This window comes from Homo sapiens, chromosome 1 (assembly GCF_000001405.40).
Source record: "Homo sapiens chromosome 1, GRCh38.p14 Primary Assembly".
In the NCBI taxonomy this organism is placed as follows: domain Eukaryota; kingdom Metazoa; phylum Chordata; class Mammalia; order Primates; family Hominidae; genus Homo; species Homo sapiens.
The window spans coordinates 155,502,855-155,525,206 of NC_000001.11; the positions used below are offsets into that span (position 1 = coordinate 155,502,855).

A 22,352-nucleotide genomic window follows, 5' to 3' on the forward strand; every position below is an offset into this window, starting at 1 on the left:
GTAATTTTAGTTATCGAGGTTGAGACAAATAGAATTTTTAAGAGTTACCAAGTATGCTTAGGAGAATTTCCATATTTCATAATTCCTAACCTTCATAATTGCCCTAACCGTTATAATCAACAAACAGCTTAGAAAGAAAGGTTACCAAGCTCCCCTGCCTTGGCTTATAATTTTCAGCATCTGCTTTTGATCTCCTCAGCAATCTTTTGGAGCCCCCAGCCCGTAAAATCAAAGACTAGGCAAGGAACTACACAATAATCACACTCAGTAATTTTGCTAAGAAATGAAAAAGTGAGGCTGAGAAGCAGGTGCCATTTTGTTTCACTGTTTTTACTGTGAGAGTTACTATCAAATCCTACAGAAAGATGTTAGGATCATTTTTGTGCCTTCATATATATCCTCAGATGTTAGTAATTCAATGTAGCTTCACTCAATACAGCTAAAATATTCTAGTGTATCTACCATCTGTGCATTTTTGTCAAAATGCCTTTGTGTACCTCCTAAACTCTGACTTCCTAATATAGTAGAACTTTTTATTGCAAGCTTGTATACTTTGATATGTTTTCCAAAAATAAAAGTAAAATATACATAGTAAATTAGGACTTGGCTGTTAAAAAATAAACACTAGTTCAGTACCTGTTTTGTTTCAAAAGTGAGTTCTGGTTACAATTTCACCTTAATAACATTTCTGACATCTTTGTTGACATTATCTTCTTTTAATAATCAGTATTCTCTCAATTTAGGTCATTGATTTTAGAGAAACTAAAGCATTAGTATGCATAATCCAGATTATAGAAAGATCCGTATTTACATTAAGCAGTTCCAGGGAAGCCACAGTTAATATGTAAACTACCACCCTCTTCCCTGTAAGTCCTTATCCAATCATATATTCCACTTCATCTCTCTATCACCTAGGCTGCAGTACAGTGGCATGAACACAACTTACTGCAGCCTCGACCTCCTGTGCTCAAGTGATCCTCCTGCCTCAGCATCCTGAGTAGCTGGGACAACAGGTGTAAGCCACCATGCCTGGCTAACATTTGTATTTTTTGTACAGGGGGGTTTCACCATGTTGCCAGACTGGTCTTGAACTCCTGAGCTCAAGCCACCCACCCACCCTGGCCTCCCTAAGTGCTAGGATTACAGGTGGGAGCCACCATGTCCAGCCCATAACTCTTGACATAAGGCATCTGCTGGTGCAAAATGACATTCATTTGTAAAGAAAAGGTAAACGTTATTAAGTAGGCCCTGGATGACACCCTCTTATTTTTCAACTGTTTAGTTTGGGATATGGAAAGGTAGGTATTAGACATAAAACATTATTTTCCCTTTCTTCTTGGAAGGTAATTCTTAATTGCTATATTTTTTAGTGGTTAGTTTAAAAAAATATATACACATACGGAGAATCTTCTAACAGATCAGCAACACCCAAGGGTCAAGCTGAGCTTTGCCAGTTGTACCCTGAATCCCCAATATGTGTTACTTCCCTTCCTAATAGTGGCAACTATTAAAAATACGTTGCAACTCACCCTTAAACCTGATCTCTAATGCCACCTGCTGTTGCAGTTCTGTAAGATAAAGAAGCTCTACGAATCTGCCCCAATATTATATAGCTTGACTTTCACTCTCTCATGAAGACCAGGGTAGTTCACTATTAATTATGCACATATTTGTAAAATAAAAGTCAGGTACTTATCTGACTTTGTTAGTATTTACTGGCTGGGCGCGGTGGCTCAGGCCTGTAATCCCAGCACTTTGGGAGGCCAAGGCAGTCGGATCACCTGAGGTCAGGAGTTCAAGACCAGCCTGACCAACATGGTGAAACCGCATCTCTACTAAAAATACAAAAATTAGCCAGGCATGGTGGCACACAACTGTAATCCCAGCTACTCGGGAGGCTGAGGCAGGATAATCTCTTGAACCCAGGAGGCAGAGGTTGCAGTGAGCTGAGATAACACCATTGTCTCCAGCCTGGGCAACCAAGACTGAAACTCCATCTCAAAAAAAAAAAAAAAAAGATTTACCATTACAGCTATAAATGACAGGGCCCCTACTTACCAAAGCAAACCCAAATTTCTGAAACAGAAAAATAGTCCAAAAAAGTGGTTTTATCTTTTAATTTTTCCTCTAAGAGGAATCCTACTACAAAGTAGGACCACAAACTTAAAAACAAACAAACAAACAAAAAACCAAAGAAAAATCCTAAGAAAAAATAAGTATGGTCATGCAATTCTTTTTGTTTTTTTCCACTGCGCCCGGCCTCATTATTTATATTTTCTTACTATTTACCTACAGTAAAGAACTGTCAAATTCTTGTTTTACAGCACAACTGAGAAAACCCTGTGAGACATCCTAAGTGTGCATTTTCCCTTTATTATTTACTTTGTCCCAAAAGCCTTTCTCTTTCCAGCAAATTCTGACAAAGTTGTCAACACCTAATTTTAAGCATGAGCCCTTCTTTGCATATTCTCTTGCTCACCACCTTCTCCAATGATTCTGCGATTCACATATACACTCCGTATGTATTTCTATCATGGCAGTTATCATGTCATAGCACAATTTTTTTTTACAGCACGTGGAAAAACAAATCAAAGAATGTTGTGACTCTGCACTAGAGACTATGGGCAAAGTTAAGTGATATAAAACTGTAACCTCCTTTGTGAAAGTATAAATCAAAATATTAGTCCTTTTGATCAGTTATTTTAAGTATAAAAGGCACACGAAAGATACAAATTTAAGATGAAAATGTTTATTAAGATGACAATGTTTAAAATTATTAATAATGGTTTCGTAACTCTGTATACACTTAACATACTGAATATACTAAAAACACTGAACTGTACATTTTAAAAGGATAAATTTTACAGTATTTGAATTATATCTCAATTTAAAATATATACATTTTATAGAAAACTGGGCTAACTTAAAATAGGGTATAATTTAAAGGAACTATTATTATCTAGAAAACCTAACACACTATTATTATCATTATTTTTTATTATACTTTAAGTTCTAGGGTACATGTGTACAACGTGCAGGTTTGTTACATATGTATACCTGTGCCATGTTGGTGTGCTGCACCCATTAACTCGTCATTTACATTAGGTATATCTCCTAATGCTATCCCTCCCCCCTGCCCCCACCCCACGACAGGCCCCGATGTGTGATGTTTCCCACCCTGTGGCCAAGTGTTTTCATTGTTCAATTCCCACCTATGAGTGAGAACATGCAGTGTTTGGTTTTCTGCCCTTGCAATAGTTTGCTCAGAATGATGGTTTCCAGCTTCATCTATGTCCCTACAAATGACATGAACTCATTCTTTTTTATGGCTGCATAGTATTCCTTGGTGTATATGTTAATACACTATTATTATCTAACAAATACAAAGGAAAAAAATCCAAAACCTAGGTAATGTCATACCAATTTTTTTCCAACAACTCTATTTCAAAATAATTGGAACTTGTTTGCAGCACTTTAAAAACTGCCAGGCAAATAATCTCTACCGAGCAAGAACTAAGGCACTATTATTATCCATTTTTCTTATTTAAGAAACAACATTAGGCTGGGCACGGTGGCTCACGCCTGTAATCCTAGCACTTTGGGAGGCCGAAGTGGGTGGATCACCTGAGGTCAGGAGTTCAAGATTAGCCTGGCCAACATAGCAAAACCCCGTCTCTACTAAAAATACAAAAATTAGCCAGGCATGGTGGCGTGTGCCTGTAGTACCAGCTACCTGGGAGGCTGAGGTGGGAAAACTGCTTGAACCTGGGAGGTGGAGACTGCAGTGTGGCCAAGATTATGCCACTGAACTGCCTGGGCAATGGACCGAGACTCCATCTCAAATAAAAAAAAGAAAAAGAAACATTAATCTACCAGTTATATAGCATTATAAAATTTTAAATTCCAGGACAGGCTTTAAGTCTAATACTTGGATTCATGTGGGTTTTAATAATTCTCAGCCGGGTATGGTGGCTCACACCTGTAATCCTAGCACTTTGAGAGGCTGAGGTAGGAGGATCGTTTGACCCCAGGAGTTCAAGACCAGCCTGGCCAACATAGCCAGACTGTTTCTACAAAAAAGAAAAATATTTAACTTTATCAAATTTTGTTTAAAAAGTAATAATAATTCTCCAAAAAAATCACTTAGGCCAGGCGCAGTGGCTCACGCCTGTAATCCCAGCACTTTGGGAGGCCAAGGCGGGCAGGCCACCTGAGGTCAGGAGTTCGAAATGAGCCTGACCAACATGGAGAAACCCTGTCTATTAAAAATACAAAATTAGCCAGACATGGTGGTGCGTGCCTGCAATGCCAGCTACTCGGGAGGCTGAGGCAGGAGAATCGCTTGAACCCAGGAGGTGGAGGTTGCGGTGTGCCGAGATCGCGCCATGGCACTCCAGCCTGGCCAACAAGAGCGAAACTCCGTCTCAAAAAAAAAAAAAAACGCTTCACTGAAATTCAAAATTATTTCTTCAACGAACTGCTTCTTAAATCTATTAAGATGGCATAGAATTTTCTTTTCTAAACAGAAAACCATTTTTGGACTGGAAATTATAATTATGGCTATAAATTTTACTTGTAATTCATTGTGCTCATGAAATCCACTCATCTAGACTAAAGTAACATCAAATAAACTATCCAATGACAAAAATGTTAGTCAACAAAGCACCAAATTTCAATGCTATTTGACTAATACGTAATCTGCTCATCATAATCATGAGACATGGTATAATGATATGACCAAATGCAGTGGCTCACGCCTGTAATCCCAGTATGTTGGGAGGACAAGGCAGGAGGATCGATTCAGCACAGGAGTTCGAGAACAGCCTGGGCAACACAACAAGACACTGTCTCTATAAAAAATAAAATAAAATTAGCCAAGTGCGGTGGCACACACCTGTGGTCCTAGTGATTCCGGAAGCTGAGATGGGAGGATCACCTAAGCCCATGGGAGCCAAGACTGCTGTGAACCATGATCATGCCACTGCACAGCCTTGGGCAACAGACTGCCTCTTTAGAAGAAGACCGTGTCTCTTAAAAAATGTTATGTATCCACCATTTGTGCATTTTTGCCAAGATGCCTTTGTGTACCTCCTCAACTCTGACTTCCTAATATAGTAGAACTTTTTATTGCAAGCTTGTATACTTGACTTTTTTTTTTTTTTTGGCTAAGCATACTAAATGAACTACAATCACGTATTATGTAACTCCAAAAACGGAATTTTCTTTAAATGCTGGAAAGAAATGTACCATTGCTCCATCTCCTTTTAAGTTACTGTGTGATAAATACAAGTAAATATTGTGACTTCCATCTCTACTTTCACTTTCTAAAATACTGCTGTAGAAAAATGAATGTACCATTCTGACAGCTTATGAAATGGCAGACACCACATGTAACTGCATCAAAGCCAAACATAAATTTTTAGAGAAAAATTACAAGAAAGTTTTTCTTTCCACTTGGGAGGAAAAAAGAAAACAGGAAAACCTGCTATAAAATTAATAATGAGTCCAAGCATGGTGGCTCATGCCTGTAATCCTAGCACTTTGGAGGTCAAGGCAGGCAGATAACTTGAGGCCAGGAGTTCGAGACATGCCTAGCCAACATGGCAAAACCCCATCTCTACTAAAAATACAAAAATTAGCCAGACATGATGGCATTCACCTGTAATCCCAGCTACTCAGGAGGCTGAGGCACAAGAATCACTTGAACCCCAGAAGGCGGAGATTGCAGTGAGCCAAGATTGCACCACTGCACTCCAGCCTGTATGACACAGTGAGACTCTAGTCTCAAAAGTAAAAATAAAATAATGAACATTATTTCTTATAAAACAATCAGGGGCTTTCTACTTAGAGCAATATGCTACGCTAAATACTGTGAAGAGTCTTCTATTACAACAAAATAACTCAAACCAGCATAAAATACGTTTCTTACACTGCTGCCTCATAGGAGTAAGAAGAAGCTCCAACAGGACCAAAAGAAAAGAATAAAAAGGGCTGACCTAAATAGGCACAATAATACAGTGGGTAAGTGCATCAAGTCATGCGCTAGGGGCAAAATAGAGACCCCAGGAAAGGTGTCAGTAACGTACCCTAACTCCTGGAAAACTAAAGTCAAAGCCTCTCAAAGTAGTCATCATCAAATTAGGCTCCAAATTCAACCACAGATAAAGATGAACAATATACAAACTTTATAATCAGCCACATTCTAGAAAAAAAAAATTATTTTCACTGAAATTACATTGTTTATAAATTAATAGGCAAAAGTACAGGGAGCACACTAAAATACAAGTTAGGAGGATGGATTAGTCCTACCTATAAAACAAAATACTTAAAACTGTATCATGGTGGCCGGGTGCCATGGCTCACACCTGTAATCCTAATGATTTGCCAGGCTGGGACAGGAAGATAGCTTGATCCCCAGGATGATCCCCAGGAGTTCAAGGTTACAGTGAGCTATGATCACACCACCGCACCACAGCCTGGTTAAAAAAGACAAGACTCAGACTCTTAAAAATAAACAAACAAAAAATGTAAATAAACAGAAACATCATTGATACTAAAAGGAAAATCAGACTAGAACCAAGTACATAAAGAAATTCAGTGTATGACAAAGCAGCCTCTCAAATCAGAGAAGTAAAGATGGACTTCTTAAAAATAGTGTTGAGGCCGGGCTTGGTGGCTCACGCCTATAATCCCCAGCACTTTGGGAGGCCAAAGCAGGCCGATCACCTGAGGTTAGGAGTTCGAGACCAGCCTGACCAACGTGAGGAAAGCCTGTCTCTACTAAAAATACAAAAATTAGCTGGGCATGATGGTGTGTGTCTCTAATCCCAGCTACTCAGGAGGCTGAGGCAGAAGAACTGCTTGAACCCAGGAGGCAGAGGTTGCAGTGAGCCGAGACTGCACCACTGCACTCCAGCCTGGGCGACAGAGCGAGACTCCATCTCAAATGATAATAATAATAATAATAAGTGTTGGGACAACCATGTAGCCATTTGGAAAGAGATAAATTTGGAACCATAACTCATAAACCATAACAAACTCCAAATGGATCAAGGATTTATATGTTAAAAAACAAAACACTACAAAGATCTGCAAAACAACATAAGGAAATCTTTTATAAACTTCGAAGGAAGAAGGTCTTTCTAATGACACGTCAAAAATCCAGAAGCCTTAAAAAGATTTATAAATTACATCAGGTAAAAAGCTAAATATTTCTGCATGGCAAAATAACATAACCAAAGTCTAAAGACAAATAACAAACTGGAAAAAGAAAATTATATGCTGGGCGCAGCGGCTCGTGCCTATAATCCCAGCACTTTGAGAGGCTGAGGCGGACGGATCACAAGGTCAGGAGTTCGAGACCAGCCTGACCAATTTGGAGAAACCCTGTCTCTACTAAAAATACAAAAATTACCCAGGCGTGGTGGTGCACACCTGTAATCCCAGCTACTCAAGAGGCTGAGGCAAGACAAAAGCTTGAACCCGGGAGGCGGAGGTTGTAGTGAGCCGAGATCGCACCACTGCACTCAAGCCTGGACGACAGAGCAAGGCTGCCTCAAAAAAAAAAAAAAAAAAAAAAAAAATTATATAAGCCACATTTCCAAGGGCTAAAGAAGTTCTCATAGTCTTGTTATGGAAAAATCTTTAGTATATACTATTTAATAGAAAAAAGATACAGAGCAGTAGGTACAGTGTGCTACTATTTACATTTTAAAATGGGGAAAGAACATGTATGTAGGGGATGCATACTGGTTTGTAAGTGCAAATATGTTTCTGGAAGATACCAAAGATAGCAATGTTGGAGTTACTCTTCTGGAAGTTTCTTTGTACCAACTTTGATTCCCAACAATTTATTCTTAATGTGATATGATTCTCCAAGCGAAGATGAACCTGAAAACACATTTTTTTTTTTGGAGACAGGATCTCGCTCTGTCACCCAGACTACCCAGCTAAAATTAAGTCTTGTTTTTTAACTAAAATAGGCTGATGGAAGCCACAGTAAACATATACAGAACAAAAATTTTCACTGAAAGTAAACTGATTAGATAATTAACTTTTATATAGCAAAATATTACCCAGAAAAATGACACCTGAACAAATCTAGAAATTGACAGTTGAAAATCATGTTATTAACCTAAAAATTCTCAACTTTTGAACCTCAAATATGAGTCTGACATTTTAAAATAAAAATTTCCAAGTAATAAAAGTATGAAATATGACATAACATACTATGCATTAACCATCCATGATATGTGATACATAAATCATCAAGCAGAATAACCTTTTCTTAAAGGAAATAAAGAAGACGAATATACTGAAAATGTCTTCAGGTTTCCCTTTGTTTGCAAAACACCACCACAGTTAAGAACTCACTGGAACCAAAGTTTATGCAAAGAAACATTAGAACAGTAATCTAAATGTGGCATTCTATTTTTGAGTCTAATTCATTAGCCATCTTCACTACACTGAAACTACAAAATTCCCACAGGGATCACTGCAGTTTGATATACTTAACAATGTTTTTCTAGATTCAGGAGATTCTGAGGTTTTATTCCCTCTCTGGAGACTTTCCAAACTTCAATCCACTGTCAATTATTCCTTAACAAGGTATTACAATTAAGAGTAGGACACAAACAAATCAAGATTCTTTCATGAACAAACCAAGACTGTTTCTTGTTTGTTTGTTTTTGAGACAGGGTGGAGTGCAGTGGCGCAATCTCGGCTCACTGCAACCTCCGCCTCCCGGGCTGAAGTGATTCTCCTGCCTCAGCCTCCTGAGTCACTGGGACTACAGGCGTGAGCCACCACACCCAGCTAATTTCTGTATTTTTAGTAGAGACAGAGTTTCACCATGTTGGCCAGCATAGTCTCGATCTCTTGACCTTGTGATCCACCCACCTTGGCCTCCTAAACTGCTGGGATTACAGGGGTGAGCCACCACGCCCGGCAAGATTGTTTCTTTCTTTTCTTTTTGAGATGGAGTTTTGCTCTTGTTGCCCAGGCTGGAGTGCAATGCCGGGATCTCGGCTCACCACAACCTCTTCCTCCTGGGTTCAAGCGATTCTCCTGTCTCAGCCTCCCAAGTAGCTGGGATTACAGGCATGCACCACCACGCCCGGCTAATTTTTTGTATTTTTAGTAGAGACAGGGTTTCTCCATGTTGGTCAGGCTGGTCTCGAACTCCCGACCTCAGGTGATCCACCCGCCTGGGTCTCCCAAAGTGCTGGGATTACAGGTGTGAGCCACTGTGCCCAGCCAAGATTGTTTCTTATTCTCTTATTTCCCTATGGTCAGTAAAGGAGAAAATACTATCCTTTATCACAATCCTTTATCACAATCTCAATAGGAGTTCCAGGGCTGCTTCTTTTGGAGCACTGAAGATAAAGTAGAAAGGCAAAAGATCCGCCAGGCGCAGCACAGGGCGTGGTGGCATGCACCTGTAATCCCAGCTACTCGGGAGGCTGAGGCAGGAGAATGGCTTGAACCTGGGCAGCAGAGGTTGCAGTAAGCCGAGATCACGCCACTGCATGCAAGCCTGGGTGACAGAGTGAGACTCTGTCTTTTAAAAAAAAAGAAAGGCAAAGGATCTTAGACTTTTTTTTTTTTTTTTTTTTTGAGATGGAGTCTCACTCTGTGACTCAGGCAGGGGTGCAGTAGTGTGATCTCGGCTCACTGCAACCTCCACCTCCTGGGTTCAAGAGCTTCTCTTGCTTCAGCCTCCTGAGTAGCTGGGGGTATAGGTGCTCACCACCACACCCAGCTAATTTTTGTATTTTTAGTAGAGATGGGGTTTCACCATATTGTTCAGGCTGGTCTCAAATTCCTGACCTCAAGTGATCCACCCGCCTCGGCCTCCCAAAGTGCTGCGATTAGTCTTATGTTTAAAAAACAAAAAAACACATATCAAGCTGGGCACAGTGGCTCACTGGCACGGTGGCTGACACCTTGTAATCCCAGCACTTTGGGGGGCTGAGATGGGAGGATCACTTGAGCCCAGGATTTCAAGACCAGCCTGGGCAACATAAGGAGCAACATTTCTACAAAATATAAAAATATTAGAAGTGTGGTGGCACACACCTGTAGCCGCGGCTTCTTGGGAGGCTGAGGCGGTAGGATTGCTTGAGCCCAGGAGGTCAAGGTCAAGGCTACAGTGAGCCTAATCACATCACTGCACTCCAACCTAGGCAATAGCAAGATGCTGTCTCAAACAAACAAAACTATAGATATATAATAATAAATTATAAATATAATGAGTAACTCCTACACATTAGGATGGCTATAATTTTTTAAAAATACAGAATAACTGTTACCGAGGATGTGGAAGAACCAGAATACTTGTGAGTTCCTGGTGGGAATGTAAAATTGTACAGCCCCTGTGGAAAACAGTATGGTAATTCTTTCAAAAAATTAAACATAGAATTATAATGCCCCAGCCAGGCACAGTGGCTCACATGTAAATCCTAGCACTTTGGGAGGCTGAGACAGACAGACTGTCCAGCCTGTCCAGGAGTTCAAGATCAGCCTGGGCAACATGGTGAAACCCCCATGTCTACTAAAAATACAAAAAATGAGCCAGGAGTGGTTGTGCATGCCTGTAGCCGGTCTACTCAAGAGGCTGAGATGGCAGAATCATCTGAGCCCAGGAGGTCAAGGCTGCAGTGAGCTGTGATTATGCCACTGCACTCCAGCCAGGGCAACAGGAGTGAGATCCTGTATCAAAAAAAAAAAAAAAAAAGAATTACAATGTCCAGCCTGGGTGACACAGCGACACCCAATCTCTTACCAAAAAAATTGCAATACGACCAAAAATTCCACTTCCACATATATACATACCCAAAAGATGTGAAAGCAGGGACTCAGATATTTCTACACACATGTTCAGCATTAGTCACAACTGTTAAAAGCTGGAAGCAATACCAGTGGCCATCCATAGATGGACTAGATTAACTTATCTAGTAAAATACTACCCAGAAAAGTAATAGCTGAACAAATCTAGAAATTAATAGTTGACAATCACATTAACCTAAAAATTCACAAACAGCTTCTGAATCTGACATATCCATAGAATGAACAAAATTTGGTATATACATACACTGGAATATTATTCAGCCTTAAAAACGAAAGCAACTCTGACATACTCCAAGATGGACAACCTTGAGGACATTATGCTAAGGGAAATAAGGCAGTTACCTAAGGACAAATATTGTATGATTCTACTTATATGTGGTAATTACAGTAGTCAAATTCAAAGACAGAAAGTAGAATAGTGGTTTCGCTAGGGGCTGCAGGAGGGAGAATGAAGAGTTAATAGAGTGTCAGCTGGAAAATGTCAAAAAAAGATCCAGAGCTGGTGGGTGGGCATGGTCGCACAAAAAGTGCATCTACCTAATGCCACAAAATTATACACTTACAAATGGTTAAAATGGAAAAAGTTCAGGTTATATGCAGCCTACCACAGTTTATATATACGGATATACATACATATACACACATTTATTTTTTAAAACTATATAATTGTTATAAACTATAAATAAAACAGGTAATACTGGTGTAAAAGTAACTACAGTTTTTGCACTGTTGAAATTTGCCACTTGATATTGGAATACGTTCTTAAATGTGGTTATGTTATATATCATTTTAATGCGCATTTCTCACTTTATGTTTTTTTGCTAATGATTACTTGCTGTTTATTTTATATTTATATTTATATTTATTTTAGACTATGGAAATGTTAGACTAAAAGCAAATTCAAGCGATCTTCTTATTTGGGTTTAAAATGGGTCATAAAGCAGTGGAGACGATTTGCAACATCAACAACGCATTTGGCCCAGGAACTGCTAATGAATGTACAGTACAGCGGTGGTTCAGGAAGTTTTGCAAAGGAGGTAAGAGCCTTGAAGATAAGAAGCACAGTGGCTGGCTGTCAGAAGCTCACAACAACTGAGAGCAATCATCGAAACTGATCCTCTTTTAACTACACGAGAAGTTGCCGAGGAACTCGGCAACTTCAACCATTCTACAGTCATTCGGCATTTTACACACCAACAAGGAAAAATTTCTCAGACTGTGATGTGTGACAAAAAGTGGATTTTATATCACAACCGGCAACAACCAGATCAGTGGTTGGACCCAGAAGAAGCTCCAAAGCACTTTTCAAAGCCAAACTTGCACCAAAAAAGGTCATGGTCACCGTTTGGTGGTCTGCTGCCAGTCTGATCCACTATACCTTTCCAAATGCCAGCGAAACCATTACACCTGAGACGTATGCTCAGCAAATTGATGAGATGTACCAAAAACTGCAATGCCTGCCGCCAGCACTGATCAACAAAAAGAGCCCAATTCTTCTCCAGGACAACGCCTGACTACATGTCACACAATCAATGCTTCAAAAGTTGGACGAATTGGACTACTAAGTTTTGCCTCACCTGACATATTCAACCGACCTCTCGTCAACCAGCTACCACTTCTTCAAGCATCTCAACAATTTTTTGCAGGGAAACAGCTTCCACAACCAGCAGGATGCGTAAAATCCTTCCCAAGAGTTTGTTGAATCCAGAAGCACAGATTTTTATGCTACAGGATTAAACAAACTGATTTCTTTTTGGCACAAACTTTTATTGTAATGGTTCCTATTTTGATTAATAAAGATGTGTTTGAGCCTAGTTATGATGATTTAAAATTCATGGTCAATGGCCGGACACAGGGACTCACTCCTATAATCCCAGCACTTTGGAAGACTGAGGCAGGCGAATCACCTGAGGTCAGGAATTCGAGACCATCCTGGCCAACATGGTGAAACCTCATCTCTACTAAAAATACAAAAATTAGCCAGGTATGGTGGCAAGCACCTGTAATCCCAGCTACTCAGGAGGCTGAGGCAAGAGAATTGCCTTAACCCAGGAGGCGGAGGCTGCAGTGAGCCGAGATCAAGCCACTGCACTCCACTCCAGCCTAGGCAACAAAAGGAGACTCTGCCTTAAAAAAAAAAAAAAAAAAAAAAATGCATGGCCCAAAACTGCAATTACTTTTGCACCAATCTATATATACATATATATCAATATAACTCGGAGATTAGCCTACATACTATACTAGCATGGATTATGGACAGAAAACTTTATCCTTTGAGGTAGCCTGATGGCACTTTATCATCATCCTTTCCTCTTGTTTCTTACACTGCCTTCTATCGTTCTGTTTTCCTCTTCTTTTGTCTTCCTGCTATAGTACCAGCAACTACTACTTTCAGTATACTAGTTGTTTAAGTTCTTCTACCGGTAAGGACCACTAAAGAGGTTGCTTGACCACATTCAAAACACTGTATGTAACCTATTCAGTAATGGCCATTGGGAGTTTATAATTTTAAAAATATGAAAAAAATTATATATAATATTTCAGTAGACAAAAGAACACTATTTTCAGTAGCTAACTCACTGAACAGAAAATAACCTACTCTCATTTCACAGTAAGTAAACCTAGTGTTTCCCAAATCTGCTGGAATGTAAGAAATACCTGAGGCATATATTAAAATACTGAATTATCTCTGTTGGCAGACGACACAGTTTTATATGTAGAAAACCCTAAAACATCAACAAATTGTTCAAGCTAATAAATGAATTCAGCAAAGTTGCAGGATACAAAACCTACATGCCAAAATCAGTTGTGGCCAACACAGTGGCTTACACCTGTAATCCCATCACTTTGGGAGGCCAAGGAAGGAGAATCATTGAGGTCAGAAGTTCAAGACCAGCTTGGGCAAAACAGCAAGACCCCATCTCTACAAAAATAATTTTTTTTTATTAAAATAAACAAAAGGAGGCTAAGGCAGGAAGATTGCTTGAGTCCAGGAGTTTGGGGCTACAATGAGCAATGCCACTGCCCCTCCAGCATGGGCAGCAAGACCCTGTCTCTAAAAAAAAATTAAAATTAATAATTAAAAAAACTAGTTGTATTTCTATATATTTACAATGAGCAATCTGAAAAGTAAATTTAAAACAATTCTGGTTGCAATAGCATCAAAAAATAAAATACACAGGAATAAATTTAAGGAGGTGAAAGGCTTGAACACCACAAATTTTATAAAATATTGCTGAAAGAAATTAAGGAAATCTTAAATAAACAAAAGACATCCCACATTCCTGGATTTCAAGACTTCATATTAAGATGACAACACTACCTAAAGTGATCTGTAGATTCAATGTAATTTCTATCAAAATCCCAACATTATTGTTTAAAGAAACAGAAAACCCCATCCTAAAATCCATATGGAATCTCAAGGAACCCCAAATAGCCAAAACAATTTTGAAAAATAACAAAGTTGGAGGACTCACACTTTCTGACTTCAACTTACTACAGGCCAGCCATGATGGCTCATGCTTATAATCCCATCACTTTGGGAGACCAAGGCAGGAGGATCACTTGAGCCCAGGAGTTTGAGGCTGCAGTGAGTAGCGTAGCCTGGATGACGGAGCAAGACCCTCTCTCTTTAAAAACAAACAGGAAGGGCACGGTGGCTCACACCTGTAATCCCAGCATTATGGGAGGCCGAGGCAGGCAGATCATTTGAGCTCAGGAGTTTGAGACCAGCCTGGCCAACATGGTGAAACCCTGTCTCTACTAAAAGTACAAAAACTAGCCGGGCGTGGTAGCAGGCACCTGTAATCTCAGCTACTTGGGAGGGAGGCTGAGGCAGGAGGCAGGAGAATCACTTGAACCCAGGAGGCAGAGGCTGCGGTCTCAAGCCGAGATCATGCCACTGTACTCCAGCCTAGGCGACAGAGTAAGACTCCATCTAAAACAAACAAACAAACAAACAAACAAACAACTTACTACAAAGCTACAGTAATGAAAACAGTGTGGTACTTGCAGAAAGACAGACATATGGACCAATGGAATGGAAAGGAAGAGTCCTAAAATAAACTCTCACATATATGGCCAATAATTTCTTTTTTTTTTTTTTTTTTTTTTTTTGAGACGGAGTCTCGCTCTGTCGCCCAGGCTGGAGTGCAGTGGCGGGATCTCGGCTCACTGCAAGCTCCGCCTCCCGGGTTCACGCCATTCTCCTGCCTCAGCCTCCCAAGTAGCTGGGACTACAGGTGCCCGCCACTACGCCCGGCTAATTTTTTGTATTTTTAGTAGAGACAGGGTTTCACCGTTTTAGCCGGGATGGTCTCGATCTCCTGACCTCGTGATCCGCCCGCCTCGGCCTCCCAAAGTGCTGGGATTACAGGCGTGAGCCACCACGCCCGGCCCAATAATTTCTTTAACAAAGTTGCCAAAACCATTCAATGAAGAAAAGATACTCTCTTCAAGAAACGATGCTGAGAAAACTGAATATCATGTAAAGGAATGAAGCTGGACCCTTACTTTAAACCATATACAAAACTTAAATACAAAACGGATCACAGATCTAAACATAAGAGCTAAAACGATAAAACCCTCAGGAAAACATAGGGGGAAGACTTTCACAACATTGGATTTGGCAGTGATTTCTAGGCTATGACACTAATAATACAGGTAATAAAGGAAAAAATAAACTGGACCTGGTTTTCATCAAAATTGAAAACTTTTTTTTGCATCAGAGGACACAAAAGGAAATTAAAAGACTATCCACAGAATGAGAGAAAATATTTTTAAAATCCTATATACAGATTATATAAAGAACCTGGACAATTCAACAACAAAACACAATTCAAAAGTAGTCAAATAATTTGAACAAACATTTCTTCAAAGAAGATACACAAATGGCCAATAAGCACATGAAAAATTGTTCAACATCATTAGTTGTTAAGAAAATGCAAATCAAAAACCACAATGTGCTACAGCTTGAGAACGGGGGCGGTGGGGGGGCGGTGGGAGGAAGGAAAGAGAGAGAAGGGAAGGAAGAAAACAAAAGGAAGGGGAGGGAAGAGAGGGGGAGAGGCAGAGACAGGGAGCAGGAGAGGTAGAGGGGAGACGGGGAGAGGAAGGAAGAAAGAAAAGAAGGAAGGAATGGAGGGAGGGAGGGAGGGAAGAAAAATTAAGAAAACCTCATGAAGACTCAGAGAAATCAAAAACTCATGCATTGCTGATGGGATATGAAACAGTATAGCCACTGTAAAAGTGTACAGTTCCTGAAAGCGCTAAATAAATAATTACCGTATGACCCAGCAATTCTATTCCCAAGTAAATACCCAAAAATTCAAAGCAGGAACTTGAATAGATAACTGTATGGCAACATTCACTGTAGCATTACTCACAATAGCCAAATAGTGGATGTGAACCAAGATTCCATCAAGAGATGAATGGATAAAAAATAAAATGGTGGCTGGGTGTGGTGGCTCACGCCTGTCATCCCAGCACTTTGGGAAGCAGAGGTGGGCGGATCACCTGAGGACAGGAGTTTGAGACCAGCCTGACCAACATGGAGAAACCCCATCTCTACTAAAAAATACAAAAATTAGCCGGGAATGGTGGCACACGCCTGTAATCCCAGCTACTCAAGAGGCTGAGGCAGGAGAATTGCTTGAACCCTGGAGGCGGAGGTTGCAGTGAGCCGAGATCGCGCCATTGCACTCCAGCCTGGGCAACAAGAGTGAAACTCCAACTCAAAAAATAAATAAATAAATAAATAAAAATAAAGTGGTATATCCACACAATGGATTATTCAGCCATGAAAAGGAATGAAGTTTTGGCACATGCTACAACATGGTTGCACCTTGAGGACATTCTGGTAAATGAAATAAGCCAGACACAAAATAACAAATATTGTATGATTACACCTATATGAGTTAGCTAGGATAGGCAAATTTATAGTTGCTAAAAGTACATTAGAATTTTTTGGGGGGTGAGATGGAATTTCGCTTTCATTGCCCAGGCTGGAGTGCAGTGGCGCAACCTGAGCTCACTGCAACCTCTGCCTCCTGGATTCAAGCGATTCTCCTGCCTCAGCCTCCCAAGGGCTGGGATTACAGGCACCTGCCATCATGGTTGGCTAATTTTTTGTATTTTTAGTAGAGACGGGGTTTCATCATGTTGGCCACGCTGCTCTCAAACTCCTGTCCTCAGGTGATCCACCTGCCTCAGCATGCCAAAGTGCTGGGATTACAGGCGTGAGCTACCACGCCCGGCAAGTACATTCGATATTACCAGTCGCTGCAGACAGAAGAAATGGAAGACATTATTTAATGGTTATGGAGTTTTAATTTGGGATAATGAAAAAGGTTTAGAAGTAAATTATTTTGGCTGGGTACAGTGGCTCACACCTGTAATCCCAGTACTTTGGGAGGCTGAGGTGGCTGGATCACCTGAAGTCAGGAGTTCGAGACCAGCCTGGCCAACATGGTGAAACCTCATCTCTACTAAAAATACAAAAATTAGCTGGGTGCGGTGGTGGGCGCCTGTAATCCCAGCTACTCAGGGGGCTGAGGCAGGAGAATAGGAGAATCGCTTGAACCCAGGAGGCGGAGGTTGCGGTGAGCCGAGATCGCACCACTGCACTCCAGTCTGGGCGACAGAGTAAGACTCCATCTCAAAAAAAAAAAAAAAAAAAAAAAAAGAAAGAAAGAAATGATTTCACATAAATTTTTAAAGCTAATAATGAAATACCCTAAAAATCACTGAATTTAAATGGGCAAACTGTATGGTATATGAATCATATCTCAATAAAGATTTCTCTTTTTTCGGTCAGACACAGTGGCTTACACCTGTAATCCCAGCACTTTGGAGTTTTGCCTTTAAAAACTGCATAAATAGGCCAGGCGTGGTGGCTCATGCCTGTAATCCCAGCACTCTGGGAGGCTAAGGTGGACGGATCACCTGAGGTCAGGAGTTTGAGACCAGCCTGGCCAACATGGTGAAACCCCGTCTCTACTAAAAACACAAAATTAGCTCGGTGTGGTGGTGGGTGCCTGTAATCCCAGGTACTCGGGAGGCTGAGGCAGGAGAACTGCTTGAACCCAGAAGGCAGAGGTTGCCATGAGCCGAGATCACACCATTGCACTCCAGCCTGGGCAACAAGAGCAAAACTTAATCTCAAAAAAATAAATAAATAAAATTTTAAAATAATTTTACAAGTACAAATACATACATGGTTATGCTATTAACTTACATCTTTGACAAGCCTTGGGGCTTATTTTAAGGCTCACAAAAACAAACTATCTGGAAATAACATAGATTAAAATCAAACTCCCGGAAATACATATATAGGATAAAAATTAATAGGGAAATGAAAATATTGTCAATAACCACATATTGTTAGGAATTCTACTTACTCGTTTTGAAGGACAGTGTTCATTCTTTTCATCCGTCATCTTTCCACTTTTAAGTGCTTTCCTTGGGTGCTTAATAGTTGTTTTTATGGCAGGTCGACATACATAGTTCTCCAAGTTCTTTGGAGGTTTTTTAGTTCTCTTAGCCTGGAGGCCAATTTTCAATTTTAAATTTCCCTCTGAAAAGTTTGTTTCTTTCACTGAAAACTGTTGCTGTGCATCAGTCAAACCATCATCTTTCCCAGCTTCGATGTTTCTTTCTCGATTCCGTTTGCGAAGGTCCTCTTCCTCCTTTGTGTTTTTTTCTAGCTCTACTTCTCTCTTACTGACCAATGTGCCAGTACTGATGGCAGAAGGACTCTTTCTTGAAAAACCTTCGGAATCAGAACCCAATCCTAACATAGCAGTATTTCTAGGGTCCATCACAAGCGTATGTTATTGCCAAGGAATCTTATGAAAATTTTACAGAACTGTGTTCCATAAAAAACAAGGATCTCCAAAACTCGAAACCAGCATCTTTCTCTGCAGAACAGATCATAACAAAAATTTATCAGAAAAGAGGCAACTACTGATTAACATAAGTAATGGGTATAGGGGAAGACAAGGAGGTCAACAACTACCCAAAAAAAAATCACAGTTAGATCGAAATGTTAATTCAAAATAGATGTAAATCCATTTAGTTATAAATACATTTAAAATTCAGAATAAGTTTATCATTCTACAGATATCATAAACAAGCCATAGTGGTATGGTGCAAATGCAAATTTAAGAATCACCAAGAAGCTTCTGAAACTTACAGTCAAGCAAACATTGCCTAAAATCAAAATAACTTTCATATATTTTCGCACTCATCAGTTTTAAAAGAATATATTCCCCACTCTTCTGCTGAAGTACACTTTTATTTCCTACAGTTTTATTGAAGGTAAAAAATCATCTTTTTTTGATACTCCATTGACTATGTGATTATTACACATTGTATGCCTGCATCAACATATCACGTTCACCCCATAAATATTTAAACACGCTATGTACCTATAAAAATTCTTTTTAAATTATCTCTTAGGCTGGTTTCAGTATTCCAAACTTTTAGAAGAGATTATCAGGCTTTTTGAGGTTAGGACTCTCTGATGCAGGAACTTATGCAGATATTATCTTTGTTGTTAGGATACAATTCAACTCTGAATCATTCACTTGTCCATTCAAAAAATATTTCCAAACATCTATCATATGCCAGGCATCATGCTACACTCTGAAAATACAGTATTCAACAAAATGAACCCAGTTCCTAAATTTTAAGGTTTATACTCTAGTGAGAAGGGCAAACATTAAGCAAATATTTATACAAATAATCACTGTTGTTATAAGAACCTTAAAAATCAGCAATTTATTTTTACAAGTTTTCCTAATAGCAAATAGTAGGCATGTGTCAATTCCCCAAATACACAAAATGTTTTAAAACTAGCGTGCTAATTTATTATTTTACAATAGGTGATACACCTAATCTCAGAATCTCCACAAAGCACTCCCATTTTAAATATAAAGATCCTCAGGAAACCAGATTACCATATAATCATTAGGGAGATTAGTGAATTTTTTTTTTTTTTTTTTGAGATGGAGTCTCGCTCTGTCGCCCAGGCTGGAGTGCAGTGGCGCGATCTCAGCTCACTGCAACCTGCGTCTCCTGGGTTCAAGAGATTCTCCTGCCTCAGCTTCCCGAGTAGCTGGCATTACAGGCACAAGCCACCATACTCACCCGGCTAATTTTTGTATTTTTAGTAGAGACAGGGTTTCACCATGTTGGCCAGGCTGGTCTTGAACGCCTGACCTCAGGTGATCCGCCTGCCTTAGCCTCCCAAAGTGCTGGGATTACAGGTGTGAGCCACCGTGCCCAGCCAGAGACTAGTGAATATATTAATAAAACCAAAACAAAACAAGTCAGTATTCTTGAAGACTGACAGACTAGTCTTCATGTCAAACATATGTCTGAGTCAAGATCTAGAACTAGTATCTGGAAAACGGAGAACATCTTATCCCTTAGAAAGTTCCATTTATGAAGTAGAATATTTTAAACGATGTGCCCTGAGACTTTTCATTACAACAAGAGAGTAAGATTCCTGGCCAGGCATGGTGGCTCACACCTATAATCCCAGCACTTTCAGGGACTGAGGTGGGTGGACTCTTTGAGCCCAGGAGTTTGAGACCAGACTGGGCAACATGGCAAAATCCTGTCTCTAAAAAAGTACAAAAATTAGCAGGGTGTGATGGCACACACCTGTAGTCCCAGCTCTCAGGAGACTGAGGTGGGAGATCACTTGAACCTTGAAGGTCGAGGCTGCAGTGAGCTGTGATCAAGCCACTGCACTCCAACCTGGGCAACAGGGCAAGACCCTGTCTCAAGGGAAAAAATAGTTGTCTTATGACTTCTACAAGGAATGTAAGTAAAATACCTCGCCCAATGACTGGCACATAGCGAGGGCTCAATAAAAGGTACTGGCCGGGTATGGTGTCTCATGCCTGTACTCTCAGCACCTTGCGGGGGCCAAGGCAGGTGCATCACTTGAGGTCACCAGTTCGAGTCTAGCCTGGTCAACATGTCGAAACCCGTCTCTACTAAAAGTACAAAAATCAGCTGAGTGTGGTGGCAGGTGCCTGTAATTCCAACTACTCAGGAGGCTGAGGCATGAGAATCACTTGAACCTGGCAGGCGGAGGTTGCAGTGAGCCAAGATCATGCTATTGCACTCCAGGCCAGGTGACAGAGCAAGAAAAAAAAAGGTGCCAATAATTTAGTAGTAGTAGGAGCAGCAGCAGTGTTTATAAGTACTCAACAAATTTTGGCCGATTGGGTAACTCCTTAGCTTGTTATTGCTCCATTCAATCATATAAACAGCTGGAAAACTAATCTTCCAATCATTTCACTCTGATGATTCTTGTCTACCATTTCATGTATTAACATTTCACAATGGCATTCAAGGCTTTTAATAACCTCACTCTCCTCTAACTATTCAAACTTATCTTTACTTCCCAACACACACCCACTATCATTTAGTCAATTCAGTTTTCTTTACTGTCCCTAACAAATCATGTTCATTTCTGCTTATGTGTCATATAAACATACACACTCTCCCTTTAAACATACAAAGTAGGCTGAGCATGGTGGCTCATGCCTATAATCCCAGCACTTTGGGAGGCTGACGGGGCGGATCAGGAGGTCAGGAGATCGAGACCATCCTAGCTAACTCGGTGAAACCCCATCTTTTAAAAAAAAATACAAAAATTAGCCAGGCGTGGTGGCGGGTGCCTGTAGTCCTAGCTACTCGGAAGGCTGAGGCAGGAGAATGGCGTGAATCTGGGAGGCAGAGCTTGCAGTGAGCCGAGATTGTGCCACTGCACTCCAGCCTGGGCAACAAAGCAAGACTCCGTCTCAAAAAAAAAAAAAAAAAAAGTACAAAGTTAGCTGTGCACAGTAGCTCGCACCTACAATCCCAGCACTTTGGGAGACTAAAGTGGGAGGATCGCTTTAGCCCAGGAGTTCAAAGCCAGTATGGACAACACAGTGAGACCTCATCTCTACAAAAATAAAAAATAAAAAATTAGCCAGGTGTGTGGTGTCATGTGCCTATAATCCCAGCCACTCAAGAGGCCGAGGTGGGAAGATGGTTTGAGCCCAGGAAGTTGAGGTTACACTGAGCCGTGATTGTACCACTACACTCTAGCTTGGGCAACAGAACAAGACCCTGTCTCAAAAAAACAAATACATAATTAGGGAAGGGAGAAAAAATAAATAATAAAATGCTGTGTATAAAAAGTAATTAAAATAACCCAAATGTTTTTTTAAAAATAAATAATAATTTTAAAAGTTCAAATCCTGCCTGGGCACGGTGGCTCACGCCTGTATTACTGGCACTTTGGAAGGCTAAGGCAGGAAGATCACTTGAGCTTAAGAGTTTGAGACCAGTCTAGCAAACACAGCAAGACCCTCTCTCTACAAAAAATAAAAAATTAGCCCAGCATGGTGGTGCACACCTATAGTCCCAGCTACTCGGGAGGATGAGGCAAGAAGATGGCTGGAGCCTAGGAAATCGAGGCTGCAGTGAGCCATGTTCATGCC

The 22,352-nt window shown here is 40.4% G+C and overlaps 1 protein-coding gene across 14 annotated transcripts in view, besides 1 other annotated feature; it reads right to left on the reverse strand.

Moving 5' to 3' along the window:
- ASH1L (ASH1 like histone lysine methyltransferase) overlaps positions 1-22,352 on the reverse strand; it is a 227,935-nt gene that overhangs the window by 167,587 nt on the left and 37,996 nt on the right. For 13 of the 14 annotated variants that reach the window (XM_047425248.1, XM_017001785.2, XM_006711450.4 and 10 more), the window contains one exon: positions 18,246-18,764. In XM_047425248.1, the coding sequence (XP_047281204.1) occupies positions 18,246-18,665 (420 nt within the window). In that variant the 5' untranslated portion in view covers positions 18,666-18,764. Of the gene's footprint in view, positions 1-18,245; positions 18,765-19,274; positions 20,413-22,352 lie in introns of those variants that run through there. The other variant, XM_047425241.1, reaches the window with a different exon arrangement.
- Positions 12,138-12,637: an enhancer, noted in NCBI's record as "H3K4me1 hESC enhancer chr1:155484783-155485282 (GRCh37/hg19 assembly coordinates)". NCBI's record gives its function as "activates a minimal SCP1, AML or CMV promoter by ChIP-STARR-seq in naive H9 embryonic stem cells {active_cell/tissue: H9 hESC(naive)}" and the evidence as "EXISTENCE:reporter gene assay evidence [ECO:0000049][PMID:30033119]".